General features: G+C 48.3%; 1 protein-coding gene and 1 pseudogene across 6 annotated transcripts in view; both read left to right on the forward strand.

Annotated features, from left to right (window-relative positions):
- RNFT2 (ring finger protein, transmembrane 2) overlaps positions 1–19073 on the forward strand; it is a 115317-nt gene that overhangs the window by 36896 nt on the left and 59348 nt on the right. For all 6 annotated transcript variants that reach the window (NM_001382266.1, NM_001109903.2, XM_047429745.1 and 3 more), the window contains exon 7: positions 3985–4138. In NM_001382266.1, the coding sequence (NP_001369195.1) occupies positions 3985–4138 (154 nt within the window). The remainder of the gene's footprint in view (positions 1–3984; positions 4139–19073) is intronic.
- On the forward strand, positions 6895–6998 carry RNU6-558P (RNA, U6 small nuclear 558, pseudogene; annotated as a pseudogene).

A 19073-nucleotide genomic window follows, 5' to 3' on the forward strand; every position in this document is an offset into this window, starting at 1 on the left:
GATTGCGCCATTGCACTCCAGCCTGGGCAACAAGGGTGAAACTCCCGTCTCAAAAAAAAAAAAAAAAAAGAGAGAGAGAAGAGCAACATAGCTGAGTCCTTGTCCTTACTGAAGTCACCAGAAGTCACCAGTCTAGACGGTGCTTGTATGTGACACCAACAACCATTATCTTGGCCTCCTGGGGACCCATTTCACAGGTGAGGACACTGAGACTTCATGAAGCCCTTGCTAAGGAGTCTTAGCCTTGGAGGCGACACTTACCACTGAGCTTGAATCTTCTCAGGATTTGATGTCTGATGACCAACATCAGAGCCTTAATTCTACCACTTCCCAGCTTTGTGCCCTTGGGCAAGTCATGTCACCTCTCTGAGCCTTCCCTAGTTTCCTGATTTGCAAAATTGGAACCAAGTCCACATTCTTCCCTTATCTGCCTGCAGGCTAGTTAGGAAGGCCACATGTCATAAGACTCATTAAAGTACTGGGTAAACAATAAAACATTGGACATATATCACAATTAATATGATTCTTTTACGATTAAATATCATAATTAGGCTGGGCACAGTGGCTCACGCCTGTATTCCCAACACTTTGGGAGGCCAAGGTGGGTGGATCACTTGAGGCCAGGAGTCTGAGACCAGCCTGGCCAACATGGCGAAACCCTGTCTCTATTAAAAATATAAAAATTAGCCTGGCGTGGTGGTAGGCATCTGTAATCCCAGCTACTCGGGAGGCTGAGGCAGAAGAATTGCTTGAAGCCAGGAGACAGAGGTTGCAGTGAGCCAAGGTTGTGACACTGCACTCCAGCCTGGGCAACAGAGCGAGACTCTCAAAAAAAAAACAAAAAAACTCGTAATTATTGGTGGAGGTGCCTAAGGAGGAGCAAAACTGACAATAAAATATATCAGTCCATTAAAGTTTGTAGAGTAATTTAGAAATGATTGGACTTGATGATGAATCCATAGAAAAACACTTTGGCACCCACCCCCCAACCAAAAGCAAAAACAAACAAACAAAAAAACTCACTAAGATGATAGAATAAAACCCAGATAGATGGATTGAACACCAACTTGTGTCCAAGATAAAATGGAAAGGATAAGGCAGATCTTCAAGATAAAATGGAAAGGATAAGTCAGATCTTCATTTGATCATGATCATGGAAGCACTGGAGATTTGGCAGAGTGTGGAAATCCACCAACCAGCCTGGGATATCCCAGGAAGGGCAAGAGCAGAGCTAAAGACGGGAGCTCAGGGCCGCAAACCTCTCCCTGTATTATGACCTGGATGACCACTCCAACTTGCAGGTGAGGAATTCCATGGAGACAGGGCAGGGATGTGGGAGGGTCACTGAAGGTGTTGTGAGTGACTTGTCAGTAATTTTGCCCTACTCAAAATAACCCAGACCAATCCGTTCTTAGGATGCTAGAATAGAGGCCTCATTTTGCACCTTTTTCTGCCAGCCCAGCTGAGTATTTCCAAAGCATATAGAAAGCATCCATTCTATGCTGAGTGTACTTCTCCCTGCTTTGGAGGAGACAGATGGGATTCAGTCTGGCCCTTGCCCAGAGCCTGTAATCCAGTGGGAAGAAAGGAGAGGGACCAGCGTGGGTTGAGTACTGGTTCCAATCTAAGCTCCACATTCAACCCGAGATGCTGCAGGAAGGTGACTCCACCTCTTAGTGCCCCAGTGTCCTCAGCTCAAAATGGGATTTTTTTTTTTTTTTTTTTGAGAAGGAGTCTCACTCTGTCACCCATGCTGGAGTACAGTGGCACGATCTCGGCTCACTGCAACCTCTGCCTCCTAGGTTCAAGTGATTCTCCTGCCTCAGCCTTCCGAGTCGCTAAGACTACAGGCATGCACCACCATGCCCAGCTAATTTTTGTATTTTTAGTAGAGACAGGGTTTCACCATGTTGGCCGGGCCGGTCTCAAACTCCTGACCTCAAGTGATCTGCCTGCCTCTGCCTCCCAAAGTGCTGGGATTACAGTCGTGAGCCACCGTGCCCAGCCTCAAAATGGGATATTCACAGTACCTACTTCATAGAGTCTTTGGGAAGACAACATGAGTTAAGACATATAAAATATACAGAGCAGGGCCTGCGTGACATCTAAAGCCAGGATATTTTAGCCACTATTACAAAGAACATCCCCCTCTTGGGGGATGTTGGAGAGCAGTGCCACTCAAAGTGTTGTCTCTTCACCAGTGCCAGTTTGAGAGCCACCTGTTGTCTGTCTCCAGTGAGTTAAGTACAGAAACTGAACATGAGGTTTCACATATCTGGTCATGGATAGGTTTACACTACTCAGCTGTAGAGTATGGATGGAGAACTGTAACTGCAGCCAGGATGTCTGGGTTCCAGGCCACCTCTGTCCCTTAATATTTTTAGGACCTTCCACATATTTGCCTTTCTGTGCCTCAGTTTCCTCATCTGCAAAATGGGGTGGATAAAAGTACCTGCCTCATAATGTTAGTGTCATCATCACTGCTGCACCGCAGGGTCTGTAATCTGTCCATTATCTCATCAAATCCTGCCAATAACACCATGAGGAAGGGAACAATTCCCATTTTATTCATGAGAACCCTGAGGCTTCCAGAGATAACTTTATTTGCCCAGAGTCCAATAAATGGAGAAGCCTGGATTCAAGTTCAAGTCTGTCCGATACCAACGCCTTTATGCTTATGTAGTGTGACTTTGGGCAGCTGACCACCTCTCCAAGCCTCAGTGCCTTATTTATAAACTGGAGATAAGCAACACTCACTGCACAGGACAGTCGTGAGGATTAGTGAGACACAGTGAGCAAAGAGCTTAGCACAGTTCCCGGCACATCAGCTTCCCCCGCTCCTTCATAGTATTGGCCTGCCTTCCTAATTTCCTTCCTCCCTGCCTTTCCTCCCTCTCTTCCTCCCCCTTTCTTTTCTTCCCTCCTTTCTTCCTTCCTTCCTTTTGCCTCCTCTCGTAAAGCCTGTTGTGGACCCACAAAACTAGAGGGGACTGTTATGGTTGGGTTTGTCCCCAGCAAAACTCATGTTGAAATTTGATCCCCAATGATGTTGGGAGGTGGGGCCTAGCAGAAGGTGTTTGGGTCATGGGTATGGATCCTCCATGAGTGGTTTGGTGTCGTTCTCATGACAGTGAGTTCTTGCTCTGGTAAAACTGGATTAGTCACATGGGAATGGATTAGTTCCTGTGAGGGTGGGTTCTTATAAAGCCAAGACGCCCCTGGGGTTTTGTCTGCTTCCCCTTTGGCCTTCTCCTTCATGTTATGATGCACCAGAAAAATAGGCCTCACCAGAAGCTAGTGCCATGCCCTTGAACTTTCCAGCCTGTAGAACCCTGGGCTAAATAAAACTCTTTCCTCTGGCCGACAGCAGTGGCTTACGCCTGTATCCCAGCACTTTGGAAGGCTGAGGCGGGTGGATCACTTGAGGTCAGGAGTTTGAGACCAGCCTCGCCAACATGGCGAAACCCTGTCTCTACTAAAAATACAAAAAATTAGCCAGCTGAGTTGGCAGGTGCCTGTAATCCAGCTACTTGGGAAGCTGAGGCGGGAAAATCACTTGAACCCGGGAGGTGGAGGTTGCAGTGAGCCGAGATCATGCCACTGCACTCCAGCCTGGGAGACGGAGCAAGACTCCATCTCAAAAACAAACAAACAAACAAAACCACCTCTTTCCTCTATAAGTTACCCAGCCTAAGGTATTCTGTTATAGCAACACAAAAAAAGGACTAAAACAAGGACCTTAATGAAACTCCAGGCCAATATGGCCATTTAACTCTCAAGGGAACTAAGACTCAGAGAGGTTAAAAGATCCACGTGAGGTCACACAGCAGGTTAGTAGCAGATTCAGGAAAAGGACACAGACGTCTGACTCCCAGTTCAGCGCTCTTTCTACAGGTGATACTTAGAAGGCTCCTGAGTGAGTAGAAGGAGCTGCTGAGGCCTGGCCCTAAGGGAACCTTCTGACTCTCTCAATCCTCCCCCCAGCCTCATATTCCTGAAGCCCAACCTGGAGATGCTGGACTTCTTTGACCTGCTATGGATTGTGGGGATCGCAGACTTTGTTCTGAAGTACATCACCATCGCCCTCAAGTGCCTCATCGTGGCCCTGCCCAAGATCATCCTGGCTGTCAAGTCCAAGGTAGGCACTGGCTGCGGCCACAAGGTAGCCCCAGTCACATGGATCATGCAGAGGATTCAGGGTGCCTTCTGAGGAGGAAAGAATGGATGAGGGTGGACTGATGTCAGCATATAAAATAAACAGAGCCTGAGCTCATAGCTCCTGTCACCCACCTCTTCTAATTCCACAAAGCTGAGCATGGCTCTTTGTCATCACCACTTTGTCACACCTCTACTTTCCAAGTGCATTTCCTAAGTTAGGTTGTTCACAGCTACCCTTGATGCAATTTTCATCCACATTTCACCTGAGAGAGGAAAAAAAAGCATGTTAGCATGCCCCGGGACCTGCTTCTCCCAGGGAAGGAGAGCCCTAATAGGTTTTGACTCTTCGTGGCTTCCAGGAGTTCATTTTATAGAGGGGACTGAGGCTCAGAAGGAAAGAGCTCCATGATTGATTAGTGATGTCTGCCACAGACCCTGCAGTGGGGAGTGAGGGCAATGATGCTTTGCAGTGTATCATAGAGAAAGGCCTCCAGGCAGGTGTTGGAATGAAGAGGCCTTGGGGAATAGACATTGGAGTTCAGAGGACTGAGCAGGGCTCAGACAAGGTATCACCTGTAGGACATAGTGATTGCCAGTGGCTCTGTAAGGTGACCCAAAGGGAATCTGGACCGAAGCAGGTGGACTAAAGAGTGTTTGAAGTCTCCTGCTTTCCATTCTGTAAAAACAGCCATCTTTCAAGTTCAGAAAGCTGAGACATGTCCCAGGCATTGCTTGGCAGCAGAGCAGCTTGGAAGTGACCATCGATCTTGAGTGGTAACTAACCCAACCCATAACCCCAATCTTTGGGCCTGTTTTGGTCCTCTCACCTTTCATGTCCACTCCCTTTCTCCACTGTGTGACTTAACATGGTGGTCCCCAACCTTTTTGGCACCAGGAACCGGTTTCATGGAAGACAGTTTTTCCACAGATCAGGGTGGGGATGGTTTCGGAATGAAACTGTTCCACTTCAGATCATCAGGCATTGGATTCTCATAGGGAGCATACAACCTAGATCATCCCTCACATGTGCAGTTCACAATACGGTTCCCACTCCTAGGAGAATCTACTGCCGCAGCTGATCTGATGGGAGGCGGAGCTCAGGCGGTAATGCTTGCTCACCCACTGCTCACCTCCTGCTGTGCGACCTGGTTCCTAACAGGCCACAGTCTAGTACCAGTCTTCAGCCCCAGGACCCCTGGTTTCTAGTTGAGCCAAAATCCTAGGCTGTTGAGGTTTTCTTAGATGAAGCCGCAGCTCTGGTACCCAAAGGCAGTGCCAGGAAACGCAAAATGGCATAAAGACAAAAAAAAAAAAAAGAGATGTGGAGAAGAAAGGCCAGAGGGAAAACAACAGGCCTAGGGAAGTCCTAAGATGCCTCCCATTGACCCTCCCCAAGACCATGAATGACGAGGACCTTTTGCCCATTGAGCTCATGCAGGGTTCCAGGTCGGCACCACGCACTTGACACTGGAAAGCAGCATGGCCTGATGGCTATGCCCATGGACTTTGGCATCAGACACATCTATGTTCAGATCCCAGCCATACGCCTCTCCAGCTGTGTGACTTTGGGCAGGTGACAAAAACCTAGTTTCCTCATCTGTCAACTGAAAATAACAATAGCGCCTTCCTCCAAAGTACTCACTTTGTAAGAACTATTGGTTGTGGGAAATACAGAGTGCTTTGCTCCACGCTCTGCACATAGTAATTGCTCAATGAGTGATTCACAATACCTGTGTTGTCTAATCTTCATGACTGCCAGCTCTGCACTGACTAGCTGTGCAATCTTGGATGAATTACTTAGCCTCAGTGCCCTCATCTGTAAAATGGGGTAATAGTTTTCCAGCTAAATGACTTCCTCTGGCCCTTTCAGCTACACCCTCCATCTTTCTCACCCTGCTCTCTGCCCAGGGGGCTGACCTGCGCGAACTATATCAATGGGCTCCTGTGCCCATCAGCTTCCAGTTGGGTTCAGCTGATGGGAAGCCCAAGAGGAGAGAGAGGCAGAGGTATTTATTCCCCCAGCATGTTAGTCTCCTGTGGCTGCTGTGACAAATTGCTACAAACTTAGTGGTTTAAAGCAACATTAATTTATTATCTTATCGTTCTGGAGGTTAGGAGTCCAAAGTGGGTTTTACTGCGGTGAAAACAGAAGTTTTGGCAGGGCTGTGTTCTTCCTCCGTCTTCCGAGTCAGTGATGGCAGGTTGAGCGTTCTCTCCTCTCTCCCTCTCCCTCCCCCTACACCTCTGCCTTCATTGTCGCATCTCCTGATTCTCGCCCTCCTGCCTTCCTCTTATAAGGACCCTGTGATGACACTGGCCCCACCCGAATAATCTAGGCTCATCTCCCATCCTTAATCACATCAGCAAAGTCTCTTTTGCCACAGAAGGTAACATTCACAGGTTCCAGGCATTAAGGTGTGGACATCGGCTGGGCACGGTGGCTCACGCCTGTAATCCTAGCACTTTGGGAGGAAGAGGCGGGTGGACTGCCTGAGCTCAGCAGTTCAAAACCAGCCTGGGCTACACGGTGAAACCCCGTCTCTACTAAAAATACAAAAAAATTAGCTGGGCGTGGCAGCATGCGCCTGTAGTCCTACTTACTCGGGAGGCTGACGCAGGAGAATTGCTTAAACCCGGGAGGCGGAGGTTGCAGTGAGCCAAGATCGCACCACTGCACTCCAGCTTGGGCGACAGAGCGAGACTCCGTCTCCAAAAAAAAAAAAAAATGTGGACATCATGCCCACTTCAGCAGCACATATACTAAAACTGGAACGATACAGAGATTAGCATGGCCCCTGTGCAAGGATGACACACAAATTCATGAAGCATTCTATATTTTTTTTTAATTAAAAAAAAATAGGGCTGTGTGTGGTGGCTCAATGGCTCAAACCTGTAATCCCAGCACTTTGGGAGGCTGAGGCAGGAAGATTGCTTGAGGCCAGGACTTTGAGACCAGCTTGGGCAAGATAAGCCTGCTGGCGAGACACTCTCTACTAAAAATTTAAAAAATTAGCTGAGTGTGGTGACACATGCCTGCAGTCCCAACTATTTGGGAGCCCAAGATGGGAGGATTGCTTGAGGCCAGGAGTTCCAGGCTTCAGTGAGCCATGATCGTGCCACTGTACTCCAACCTGGGCAACAGAGTGAGACTCTGCCTCTTAAAAAAAATAAAATAAAAAATGTAAATAAAAATAAAATAATTTTCTAAAAGACGTGGACATTTTTGGGTGGGCGCAGCATTCCATTCCCTGCCACACCTGATTTCCTCCCTCCCAGGTTACCATGGGTCAATGCTATTCCTTGTACTTCACACTCAGTAACCCACTGAATCTCTACAACATCCCTGGGAAGCGGGCACTGTTATTCCTACCACCCCCTTTCTCACATGCCGAAAATAAGTCTGAACACACAGTTCCTATCACAGGCAGCTCCTCCAGACAGCTTTCTATCCAGGTCTGGTAACTGTGCCCTCCTCGTACCCTTCTAGACTAGACCACTCCTTGTTGGTTTCCCCAAACCCTGCCCGCACCTTTGTAAATAGCACAGGTATTAAACTCTTCAGTTACCTGATTTTAGTATGCCAGGACCCTACTCACTCTACCATGAGACTTCCCTCATGGCGAGAACAGAGTTTATGAATATTCAGGGCTGGCCTGGCTCATCATAAGTGCTCAATACATGTTGGCTACCAGGGTGATGCTTTTAAATCACTACTATGCCCATCTTTCCTCCTCCTACTGCTGCTACCACCCGGTAGGAGATACACACTCTTATACCCATTTTACAGACAAAGACATTGAGGCTCAGAGATCCCCTCATAGACACTTGTCAGAATGAGGATTTGAACTCAGGTCTGCCTTATGCCAAACCCAAGGGTTTCTCCCAGCTGTCTGACCTCTGAGAATCCTAGCCAGGTGATTATTTCCATAGCTTTGTGTGCCCCTACACTGGCTTCGTGTTCTTGGGCTGGCAACCCTAGGGGGATGCTTCTGGTTGGCCTCCTCCTTGAAACATCTGCTCAGGCCTCACTCCCTTGTTAGATAATGACAGGTCTGGCCAGTGAAGGTCTGAGAGCTATACTGTCGGCTTCCTGGGGACCACATATGTTGACCAGGAATAGGCTGCAGCCATCAGCTGCCTCGTCAAGGTGGACCAGCTCCTGCAAGGCGACACAGGTTGCAGCCACCTGCAGGCACAAGGCACATCATCCTCACTTGAGCAATAACACCCCTCCCTGTGCCCAGCTACAGCCAAGCTCTGACCCCAGGAACCCAGGATGGGAAGGAGCCTGGACTGAAGCCAGTGCTGAGAAGTGGCAATGTCTTCCACCTTTCCTTAGCACCTGTTGGCTGCTGGAATCTTGTTGGCTCTCCACAGCCAGCCAGGTCAGACAGAGGAGCAAGACAGGCGGAGCCCACAGAGTGCTAAGTGACACTTGAGAACAGATTGTCAACAACGGATCATTTTTCTGCCTGTTCTAGTTAGGACCAGGAATAACAACTGTAATAGCAAACTCTTAGAGGCCGCTTAACCGTGTACTGGCCACTGTCCCAAGTACTTTACATGTACAAACTCATTGAGTCATGACCACATCCCTGTGAACAGGGTCCTGTTATTACCACCATCCCATTTTCACAGATGTAGAAGCTACAGCACAGCACAGAGAGGTTCAGTGACTTGTCCAAGGCCACACAGCTAGAAATTGAAGAGCAAAGTCAGACCACCAGGCAGTCAGGCCCCTGAGTCTGAGCTCTTAATCTGTCTGCTGTAGTCAGAACAGAGATGCTGTCCAGTTACTGCACGGGGCATTGTACAGATTCACTTCTGTAAGTAGACTCAGAGATGAGAGTACAAAGCTAGACCAAGGCTTCCTAGCAGTCTCCCTGGCTCTCACTGCAGCTCACGGTCTGTGGTAGGCAGCATCCGCCGCACGTGTCGTGTCCTCTTACAATTCCCCAGTTCAGCTCTTGGGAGAAGGTCTGATTGGCCCCGGTCATTTTGTGTACCAGCTATTTCATAGGTCAGCAGCTGGCCAATGAATGGGCTGCACATGGTCATGTGCCTAGTCCTTATCCAATCAACTGTTGCCAAGGAGGAGGCAATGTCAGCTGGTACGAAAAAACATGGCTGCCTAGGGAGGCTCTTTCATCTGGGGCCTGGGTTGAACCAGGCAAAGCAATGAGGCATAGTAGACCCATTTTCAAGAAGGAACTCAGGATCTTCCCCAAAGCCTGGGCTTCTTCTCATTGTTCTAGATCTCAGAGTGTAGCACCTCCCTCCACCCCACTGTTCACATCAATAACCTGGAAAGGACCTCTAACTCTTCCTCTTTCTTCCTTGCTTCTTCCAGTCAGCAACCAAGTTCTGTTCATTTTGCCTCCCCAGTGACGTGGGAGCCCATCCTCCTTCTATATCTCCACCGTCACCACCCTAGTGCTCGCCACCATGAGACCAAAGTAGTCTCCCTCTGTGTGTCCACTCCAACCCCCTCCACTTCATTCTTTTCCCTGCCAGCGGAGCAGGACTCTAAAAGAAAATTAATCTGATTGTCCTCTCCTATCACTTCCCCTCACCTTCACCCAATTTAAACCCTCCAGGGGCTGCCCTTGTGCTCAGGACAAAGACCAAGCTCCACAGGTGAGGCTACAAAGCCTACCCAGCCTGCCTCTGCCCCTGCCACCAGCATCACGCCCTGACACGCCTTGGTTCCCCCTCTGTTTCTTCCCTCTGCCCTCCTCCCTCCTGTCTCGGCCTCTTGCACATGCCCTTCAGACCCCCAGAGATGCTCCTTCTCTAATGGATCCTTGAGGCGTCAGTTCAGAAGTCTCTTCTAGATCCCCCTAAGTCCAGTTCTTTCATAGCATTTGTGATTACCTACTTCTGTGTGTGTGTGTGTGTGTGTGTGTGGCGGGGGGGGGTTGTTTGTTTGTTTTGTTTTGTTTGAGACAAGGTCTTGCTCTGCTTCCCAGGCTGGAGTACAGAGGCGCAATCACAGTTCACTGCAGCCTCAACCTCCCGGGCTCAAGTGATCCTCCCAGCTCAGCCTCCTGAGTAGCTGGGACTGCTCAGTGCACCACCAAGCCTGGCTAATTTTTTAATTCTTCTTGGGGATGGAGTCTCACTTTGTTGCCCAGGTTAGTCTTGAACTCCTGGGCTCAAGTGATTTTCCTGTTTCAGCCTTCCAAAGTACTTGTGTAATTATTACATTCATTCCTGCCTCCTCACTATTTGAAAAGTCTGTTTGGCCCACCAGTGTATCTGTAAGACCCGGCCCAGCACTGGGCACTGGGCAGAGCTCTGTAAACGGTGAGTAAGTGAAATGGCAGAGAAACTGAAGTTAGCTCAATCCTGCCCTGTGCCTTCTGGTTTATTTTCAGCAGACGAAAATAAAACAGGAAAGCCAGGCATTGTGGCTCACACCTGTAATCCCAGCACTTTGGGAGGCCAAGATGGGTGGATCGCTCGAGTTCATGAGTTCGAGACAAGCCTGGGCAGCATGGTGAAACCCTGTCTCTACAAAAAATACAAAAAAAAATTGGCCTGATGTGGTGTACATGACTGTAGTCCCAGCTACTCAGGAGGTTGAGGTGGGAAGATTGCTTGAGCCCAGGAGGCAGAGGTTGCAGTGAGCTGAGACCGCGCCACTGCACTCCAGCCTCGGCAATAGAGCCAGCCTCTCAGTATTCTTCTGACATAGGTGCTGATTACTCTTATCAATGGATGAGGCGATGGAGGTTAAGAGATCAGGTAGTTCTTTTTTTTTTTTTTTTGAGACAGAGTTTCACTTTTGTCCCCCAGGCTGGAGTGCAATGGCGTGACTTCTGCTCACTGCAACCTCCACCTCCCAGGTTCAAGGTATTCTCCTGCCTCAGCCTCCCAAGTAGCTGGGATTATAGACACGTGCCACCACGCCTGGGTAATTTTTGTATTTTTAGTTTGACCATATTGGCCAGGCTGGTCTCGAACTCCTGACTTCAGGTGATCCACCCACCTCGGCCTCCCAAAGTGCTGGGATTACAGGCATGAGCCACCGCGCCCGGCCGAGATCGGGTAGTTCTTACAGTCATGCAGCTGCTCGGTGGTGGGGTCAGGATGACAGCACAGGTCTTTACAACTTCAAGACTCCAGCTCTACCTCAAAGGAGTGGGTTTGGGACAAGATAAGGAAGGCATTTGAGGTTACTCATCACCTGGCGCCTTCTGGGTTCTGTCTAGATTCTTTCTCATAGTCCAGCTCTTCCAAGGCTCTCAATACCCCTGTAAGATACAATTCACTGTCACCTCTTTCTGGATGAAAAACTATTAGTTTCCTGTGGTTGCAGTAACGAAATACCACAAACTTGGTGGCTTGAAATAACAGAAATTTGTTCTCTCACAGTTCTGGAAGCCAGAAATCCAAAATCAGTGTCACTGAGCCAAAATCAAGGTGTCAGCGGGGCTGCACTGCCTCCGGAGGCTCAAGGAGAGAATCTGATCCTTGCCTCTTCGGGCTTCTGGTGGCTCCTGGTGTCTTTGGCTTGTGGCTGTGTCACTCCAGTCTCTGCCCCCATGGCCACATGGTCTTCTCCTCTTCTGTGAATGATGCCTCTCTCTGCCTCTCTCTTATAAGGACACATGTAACGGTATTTTGGGCCCAGCTGGATAAGGCAGGGTAACCTCCCCATGCCGATATCCTTAATCACATCTGCAAAGACATGATTATTTTCTAAATAATGTCACATTCACAGCTTCCTGGTATCCTTGAGTGGCCGTTATTTCCTTTACTACACTGAGGCTGAAAGAGAGGTGAGATAGTTTGTCCAAAAAACACCCAGTTGCTCAGTTATAGAATCAAAATGAAAATCCAACTCTTCCAACTCCCAAGCCCGTGGCTACTTCTGAGGACCAGGAGATCATCTGCCAGATCGGCCAGGTGCTAGAGGGCCTAGGCCATTCCTAACCTGCAATTTTCCAGCCATGGTGCCTTGAGCAAGTCGCTTAATGTGAGCATTTTCCTCCTGCAGAAAATCGAGATGTTAACAGTAGCGTTCTTTAGATACTGTAAAGGTAAAAAGACTTGACAGGGCACAGTGGCTCACACCTGTAATCCCTGTTTTGGGAGGCCAAAGTGAGAAGGTTGCTTGAGGCCAAGAGTTTGAGACTAGCCTGGGCAACACAGCAAGATGCCATCTTTATAATAAAAATAAAAATAAAAATCAATTAGCTGGGCATGGTGGAACGCACCTGTAGTCCCAGCCAATTGAGAGGCTGAAGTGGGAGGATCATTGAGCCCAGGAGTTGAGGTTGCAGTGAGCCATGATCATGTCACTACACTCAGCCTGGGCAATAGAGGGACATGTTGTCTCTAAAAGAAAAAAAAAAAAAAAGATATAATGTGTATAATGTGTGTATGAAGAGTTATCACCTAGAGAGGAGGCAGGTGAGGCTTTGTGGACCATCATCATGGGTCCCACCTCCCTGTCTGGCATCTTACTTACTCATCCCTCTCCCTCTTTCACTCCCTTACTCTTACTCTGTTTTTTGTGCTCCAGACAGACAGACCCTACCTCTTTTGCTTCTTTTTTGTTTGTTTGTTTTGAGATGGAGTGTCGCTCTTGTTGCCCAGGCTGGAGTGCAATGGCGCAATCTCGGCTCACCACAACCTCTGCCTCCCGGGTTCAAGCAATTCTCCTGCCTCAGCCTCCCGAGAAGCTGGGATTACAGGCATGCGCCACCACACCCAGCTAATTTTATATTTTTAGTAGAGATGGTGTTTCTCCATGTTGGTCAGGCTGGCCTCAAACTCCCAACCTCAGGTGATCCGCCTGCTTTGGCCTCCCAAAGTGCTGGGATTACAGGCGTGAGCCACTGCGCCCAGCCTCTTTTGCTCCTTTATACTCATTAACTCGCCCCATTCTGCAGCATCCCTATGTGGTAGATGCTGTTCTTATCCCATTTTCCAGATGAGAAAATTGAGGCACTGAGACATTGAGAAACTAACCTACAATCTTCTAGAGTGGGCTGCTTGCTGCCCTGTCTCCCACCTGCACCTACTGATTCATCTGCCTCAAAGAGCCTTCCCTCTTTCTCATGTCTTGATAACTCCTGTTCTTTCTGCAGATCACTGCCTCTTAGAAACCTACCCTGCCTCTTCAGGCTAGGTGTGGTGCTCCCACGAGGACTCCTACAGCACCCTATACTTCCCCTATTCTGGCACCCACCACTCTGACTGTAATTGTTTGTTTAAATGTCTGCCTTCTCTGCTTGATTGTAACCTCTGTGACAGCAGGAAATGAATGCATCCAGTTTGTTTGTTGATGGATCATCAGTATCTGCTGTGTATCCAGAAGTGTTCATTGTATGTATGTAAGTATGTATACATGTGTGTTTGAGTGGGTAGATGGATGGGTGAATGGATATATAGGTAGGTAGATAGATGAATTAGATGATCATCTGGGAAGTTTGGTGGATGGATGGATAGATGGATGGATGGATGGATGGATAAATGGGAGGAGAGTGGATGGATGAATGGGTAGGTGGATGGGTAAATGGGAGGAGAGTGATGGATGGATGGTGGATGGATGGATGGATAGATAAATGGGAGGAGAGGGATGGATGGATGGATGGATGGATGGATGGGTAGATAAATGAGAGGAGAGTAGATGGATGGATGGGTGGATGGGTAAATGGGAGGAGAGTAGATGGATGGATGGATGGGTGGATGGGTAAATGGGAGGAGAGTGGATGGATGGATGGGTAGATGGAAGGAGAGTGGATGGGTGGATGGGTAAATGAGAGGAGAGTGAGTAGATGGATAGATGGGTGGATGGGTAAATGGTAGGAGAGTGGTGGGTGGATGGATGGTAGATGGGTAAATGGGAGGAGAGTAGATGGATGGGTGGATGGGTAAATGGGAGAAGAGTAGATGGATGGATGGATGGGTGGGTGGATGGGTAAATGGGAGGAGAGTGGATGGATGGATGGGTAAATGGAAAGAGAGTGGATGGGTGGATGGGTAAATGGGAGGAGAGTGAGTAGATGGATAGATGAGTGGATGAGTAAATGGTAGGAGAGTGGTGGGTGGATGGATGGTAGATGGATGGATGGATGGATGGATGGGTGGATGGGTAAATGGGAGGAGAGTGGATGGGTGGATGGGTAAATGGGAGGAGAGTGGATGGGTGGATGGGTAAATGGGAGGAGAGTGAGTAGATGGATAGATGAGTGGATGGGTAAATGGTAGGAGAGTGGTGGGTGGATGGATGGTAGATGGATGGATGGGAGGAGAGTGGATGGATGGATGGATGGATGGATGGATGGATAAATGGGAGGAGAGTAGAGGGATGGATGGGTGGATGGATAAATGGGAGAAGAGTAGATGGATGGATGGATGGGTGGATGGGTAAATGGGAGGAGAGTGGATGGATGGATGGGTAAATGGAAGGAGAGTGGATGGGTAAATGGAAGGAGAGTGGATGGGTGGATGGGTAAATGGGAGGAGAGTGAGTAGATGGATAGATGGGTGGATGGGTAAATGGTAGGAGAGTGGTGGGTGGATGGATGGTAGATGGATGGATGGGAGGAGAGTGGATGGATGGATGGTGGATGGGTGGGTGGATGGATGGATGGATGGATGGATGGATGGATAGTCTAATCAGTTGTAATAACTCACTACCTCCTCTTACAGCAACAGCAAGAGCTTGGATTTCATTTTCAGCTCAGCTCAAACCTCTTATATTTGGTAGGTGTCAAAACACTTCTTTCATGAAGACACAAAAACCTATAAGCAAAGTAGCACTCACTTCTCTGTGCTAGAAAAGACCATATAGGGCCTTTGAAAGAAATCTGGCAGCCACACTTATAATAATAAACATGGCTAAATATTGCTGAGCATTTATTATGAGGCAATGTGTTAAGCAATGCCATTTGTTCAAGAAATATTTACTGAATGCCAGCTACATGCCCCACTCTGTTCTAAACTCTGAGGATACATCAGTGAACCAGTAAATAGAAACCCCTGTATTCGTGAGTTTATATCCTCTTAAAGACATTGTCTCATTTAATCTTAACAGTCCCAGGAGGGTAGATGCTGTTGATATCTCTTTTCACAGAGAGGAAACTGAGTTAAATAACTTGCAAAAGAGCGCAAACCTTGCAGTAACAAACTTATAGCAGCGGGAGCAGCCAGTGTGGGGCCAGCCTTTCACATGGGCAGGCAGGGCTCTAATTCATTTCCATCTGATGTCAGCCTCATGAGGGAAATGCTGTTGTCTTGATTTTTTGTTTTCTTATTGAGATACAATTCACGTAACATAAAATTAACCATTAGGCTGGGCTCAATGGCTCATGCCTGTTATCCCAGCACTTTGGGAGGCCAAGTTGGGAGGATCTCTTGAGCCCAGGAGTTCAATACCAGCTTGGGCAACATGGTGAAACCCTGTCTCCACCAAAATACAAAGATTTAGCCGAGCATGGTGGCACTCACCTGTAGTCCCAGCTACTTGGGAGGCTGAAGTGGGAGGATCACTTAAGCCTAATAAGGTTAAGGCTGCTGCAGTGAACCCTGATCGCAGCACTGCACTCCAGCCTAGGCAACAGAGGGAGACCCTGTCTGAAAAAAATAAAATAAAACAATAAAAATAAACCATTAATCATTTTAGAGTATGCCATTCAGTGGCGTTTAGTACATTCACAGTGTTGTACAACCACCACCTCTGTCTAGTTCCAAGACATTCTCATCACACCAGAAGGAAACCTTGTCCCCACTAAGCAGTCACATTCCATTCCCGCTTCCCACAAGCTCCTGGCAACTGCCAATCTGCTTTTCATCTCTATGGATTTGCCTATGCTGGACATTTTGTGTAAGTGGAATAATACCCTATGTGGCCTTTTGTGTCTGGCTTCTCTCATGCCGTGCTATGTTTTCGAGGTTCATCCATGTTGTAGCATGTATCAGCACTTCATTTCTTCTTTTTCTTTTTTGAGACGGAGTCTCACCGTGTTGCCCAGGCTTTAGTGGAGCATCATGATCTTGGCTCACTGCAACCTCTGCCTCCCGGGTTCAAGCAATTCTCCTGCCTCAGCCCCCAAGAGTAGCTGGGATTACAGGAGTGCGCCACCAGGCCTGGCTAATGTTTGTATTTTAGAGAGATGGGGTTTCGCCATGTAGGCCAGCCTGGTCTGAGACTCCTGACCTCAGGTGATCTGCCCACCTCGGCCTCCCAAAGTGCTGGAATTACAGGCATGAGCCACCATGCCCGGCTTTCATTCCTTCTTATGGCTAAATAATATTCCATTGTGTGGATAGACTACAATTTGTTTAGCCATTCCTCTGTCAATGGACATCTAGGCTGTTTTTGCTTTTTGGCTATTGTGAATAGTGCTGCTGTGAGCTTTCGCAGACAAGTATCTGTTTGAACATAATTTTTGTGGTAAATACATAGGCAGAGAATTCTGGATCATGCTGTAATCCTATGTTGAACCTTTTGAGGAACTGTCAAACCTTCCCACAGTGCCTGCACCATTTCACATGCCCAGCGGAAGAAAATGAAAACAGCCAGAGGCTAAGAAAGTAGCCCAAAGCCACATAGCTCACAAGTGGCTATGTGGAGATTTGAACTCAGGCAGTCCTCCTGCTCCAGAACTGCTACCCTGAATTATTAGACCGCGGTCCTTCCCGTGTATGTTCCCTGAATTCCTTTGGAAAATTTTCTTTTTTGTTTTTTGAGACAGAGTCTCTGTTGCTCAAGCTGGAGTTCAGTGGCACAATTTTGGCTCACAGCAACCTCCACCTCCCAGGTTCAAGCAATTCTCCTGACTCAGCCTCCTGAGTAGCTGGGATTACAGCTGTGCACCACCACGCCCAGCTAATTTTTGTATTTTTAGTAGAGACGGGGTTTCACCATGTTGGCCAGGCTGGTCTTGAACTCCTGACCTCAGGTGATCTGCCCACCTCGGCCTCCCAAAGTGCTGGGATTACAGGTATGAGCCACTGCGCCCAGCCTAGAAAATTTCTGAGAATTAATTTTGGAGAAAAGTCCTCCTAAACCATTCACATAAAATTCCCCCAAGTCCAGGCCAGAGCTACCTCACTTCCTTCTCCTTGAAACGGACACTGCTAGGGCCGAGGAGGCGGGGATGGACCCAGCACCCCTTTCTTGCGCCTCCGAGCTGTGGGCAACAGTTATTAATGCCTCCCTGGCAACTGTCCAGCTCCCTTTTTTTGATGATGATTATTTTATTCGGTGAGATTAATGTGCCAGGTCAGCGCGTAATCTAGCCTGTAGAAAGTGATGTGAATAGTCTTCCCCAAGATAAATTGCAGGCTTGGAAAAGGTTCACAGCCTTCCCTTGCCTGTCTGAGTGCTCTCCCGAATCCTCATCAATCCTTGTCTGTGGAGAAGAAAAGGATGGGTTTTCATCTGCAGCGGGGGGAAGACACATTTGTCAGAGACCCCTAATGGCTCACGGCACAGATGCTCTTTGCTGGGCCTCCGCACCATCCACTGAGAAGGTGGGTTGGTTTTAATATTATAATTATTATATTGAAAGTGCTTTTGCTATTTGGGTCGGTTGATGGCCCTGACGTGTGAGGTTGGGTGAGCCACCTTGTCTAGGGACTTTGGGAATCTCTCCATTTTCTGCCTTTCTTAATCATCCCGCTGCCAATGCCAATTCCCACGTGCCTTGCAACGCTGGAGGGTCTGTCAGGAATCCTCATACCTGGGCCTTCTAGGAGAACTGGGCTTCCTGGCCAGCCAAGACGGGTTAAAGGTGGCATTGACTGATCTTCAACCTCAGCCCCAAAACCATCACACTGGCCAGGTGTCTTGAGCTGCCACTTGTCATTACATATCCAGATAGCTTTTTTTTTTTTTTTTTTTGAGGCAGGGTTTCATTGTCCAGGCTGGAGTGCAGTGGCGTGATCTCAGCTTACCACAACCTTGACCTCCTGGACTCCAGTGACCCTCCCACCTCAGTGTCCCACATGCCACCATGCCCAGCTAATTTTTAAAATTTTTGTAGAGACAGGGTCTCACTGTCTTGCCCCAGGCTGGTCTCGAACTCCTGGGCTCAAGTGCTCCTCCCACCTCAGCCTCCCAGAGTGCTGGGATTACAGGCGTGAGCCACTGTGCCTGGTCCAGAAAACTTCTATATAGCTCATATGTGTTGCATTTGCCTGGCCTGGCTCCTACTCCACCTCTCCGACATCATCACCCATGACTCTGTCTCTTGCTCACTCAGGACCAGCCATGCTGGTGACTTCTTGGTGCCTCCAAAGCACCCAGCGCCTTCCTTCTCAGGCTTTTGTTCTTGCTGTTCCCTCTGCTGGGAGCAGTTTTTTCCTGGATGTTTCCATGGCTGTCTCCTTCCCATCACTTGGATCTCGACTCCAATGTCACCACCTCTGGAAAGTCCTTCCTAACCACCCTGCTGAGAGTGCTTTTCTCCAACCTGCAGTATTCCACCATCATTTTATATCTTTCCTAGCATATACCAGTATCTGAAATAATCAGATTGTTTGTCTTTATTTATTTTCTGTCCTTCCCCACTAGAATGTGAACTCATGTGAGCAAAGACCCCTAGGTTGCTCTTGACTCACAGGGAATGTACCACTGTGGGCTGAATTCAGAGTTTCTCTGGGTGCTGTGGCTCACGCCTGTAATCCCAGCACTTTGAGAGTGTGAGGTGGGAGGATCACTTGAGCCTAGGAGTTCGAGACCAGCCTGGCAACAAAGTGAGACCCTGTCTCTATAAAAAACTAAAAACGTATCCAAGCATAGTGTCATGCACCTGCAGTCCCAGCTATTTAGGAGGCTGAGGTGGGAAGATTGCTTGAGCCAAGCAGGTTGAGGCTGCAGTGAGCAATGACTGGGCCACTGTACTTCAGCCTGAGCAACAGAATGAGATCCTGTCTCAAAAAAAAGCCTGATATTA

This window comes from Homo sapiens, chromosome 12 (genome assembly GCF_000001405.40).
Source record: "Homo sapiens chromosome 12, GRCh38.p14 Primary Assembly".
NCBI lineage: Eukaryota > Metazoa > Chordata > Mammalia > Primates > Hominidae > Homo > Homo sapiens.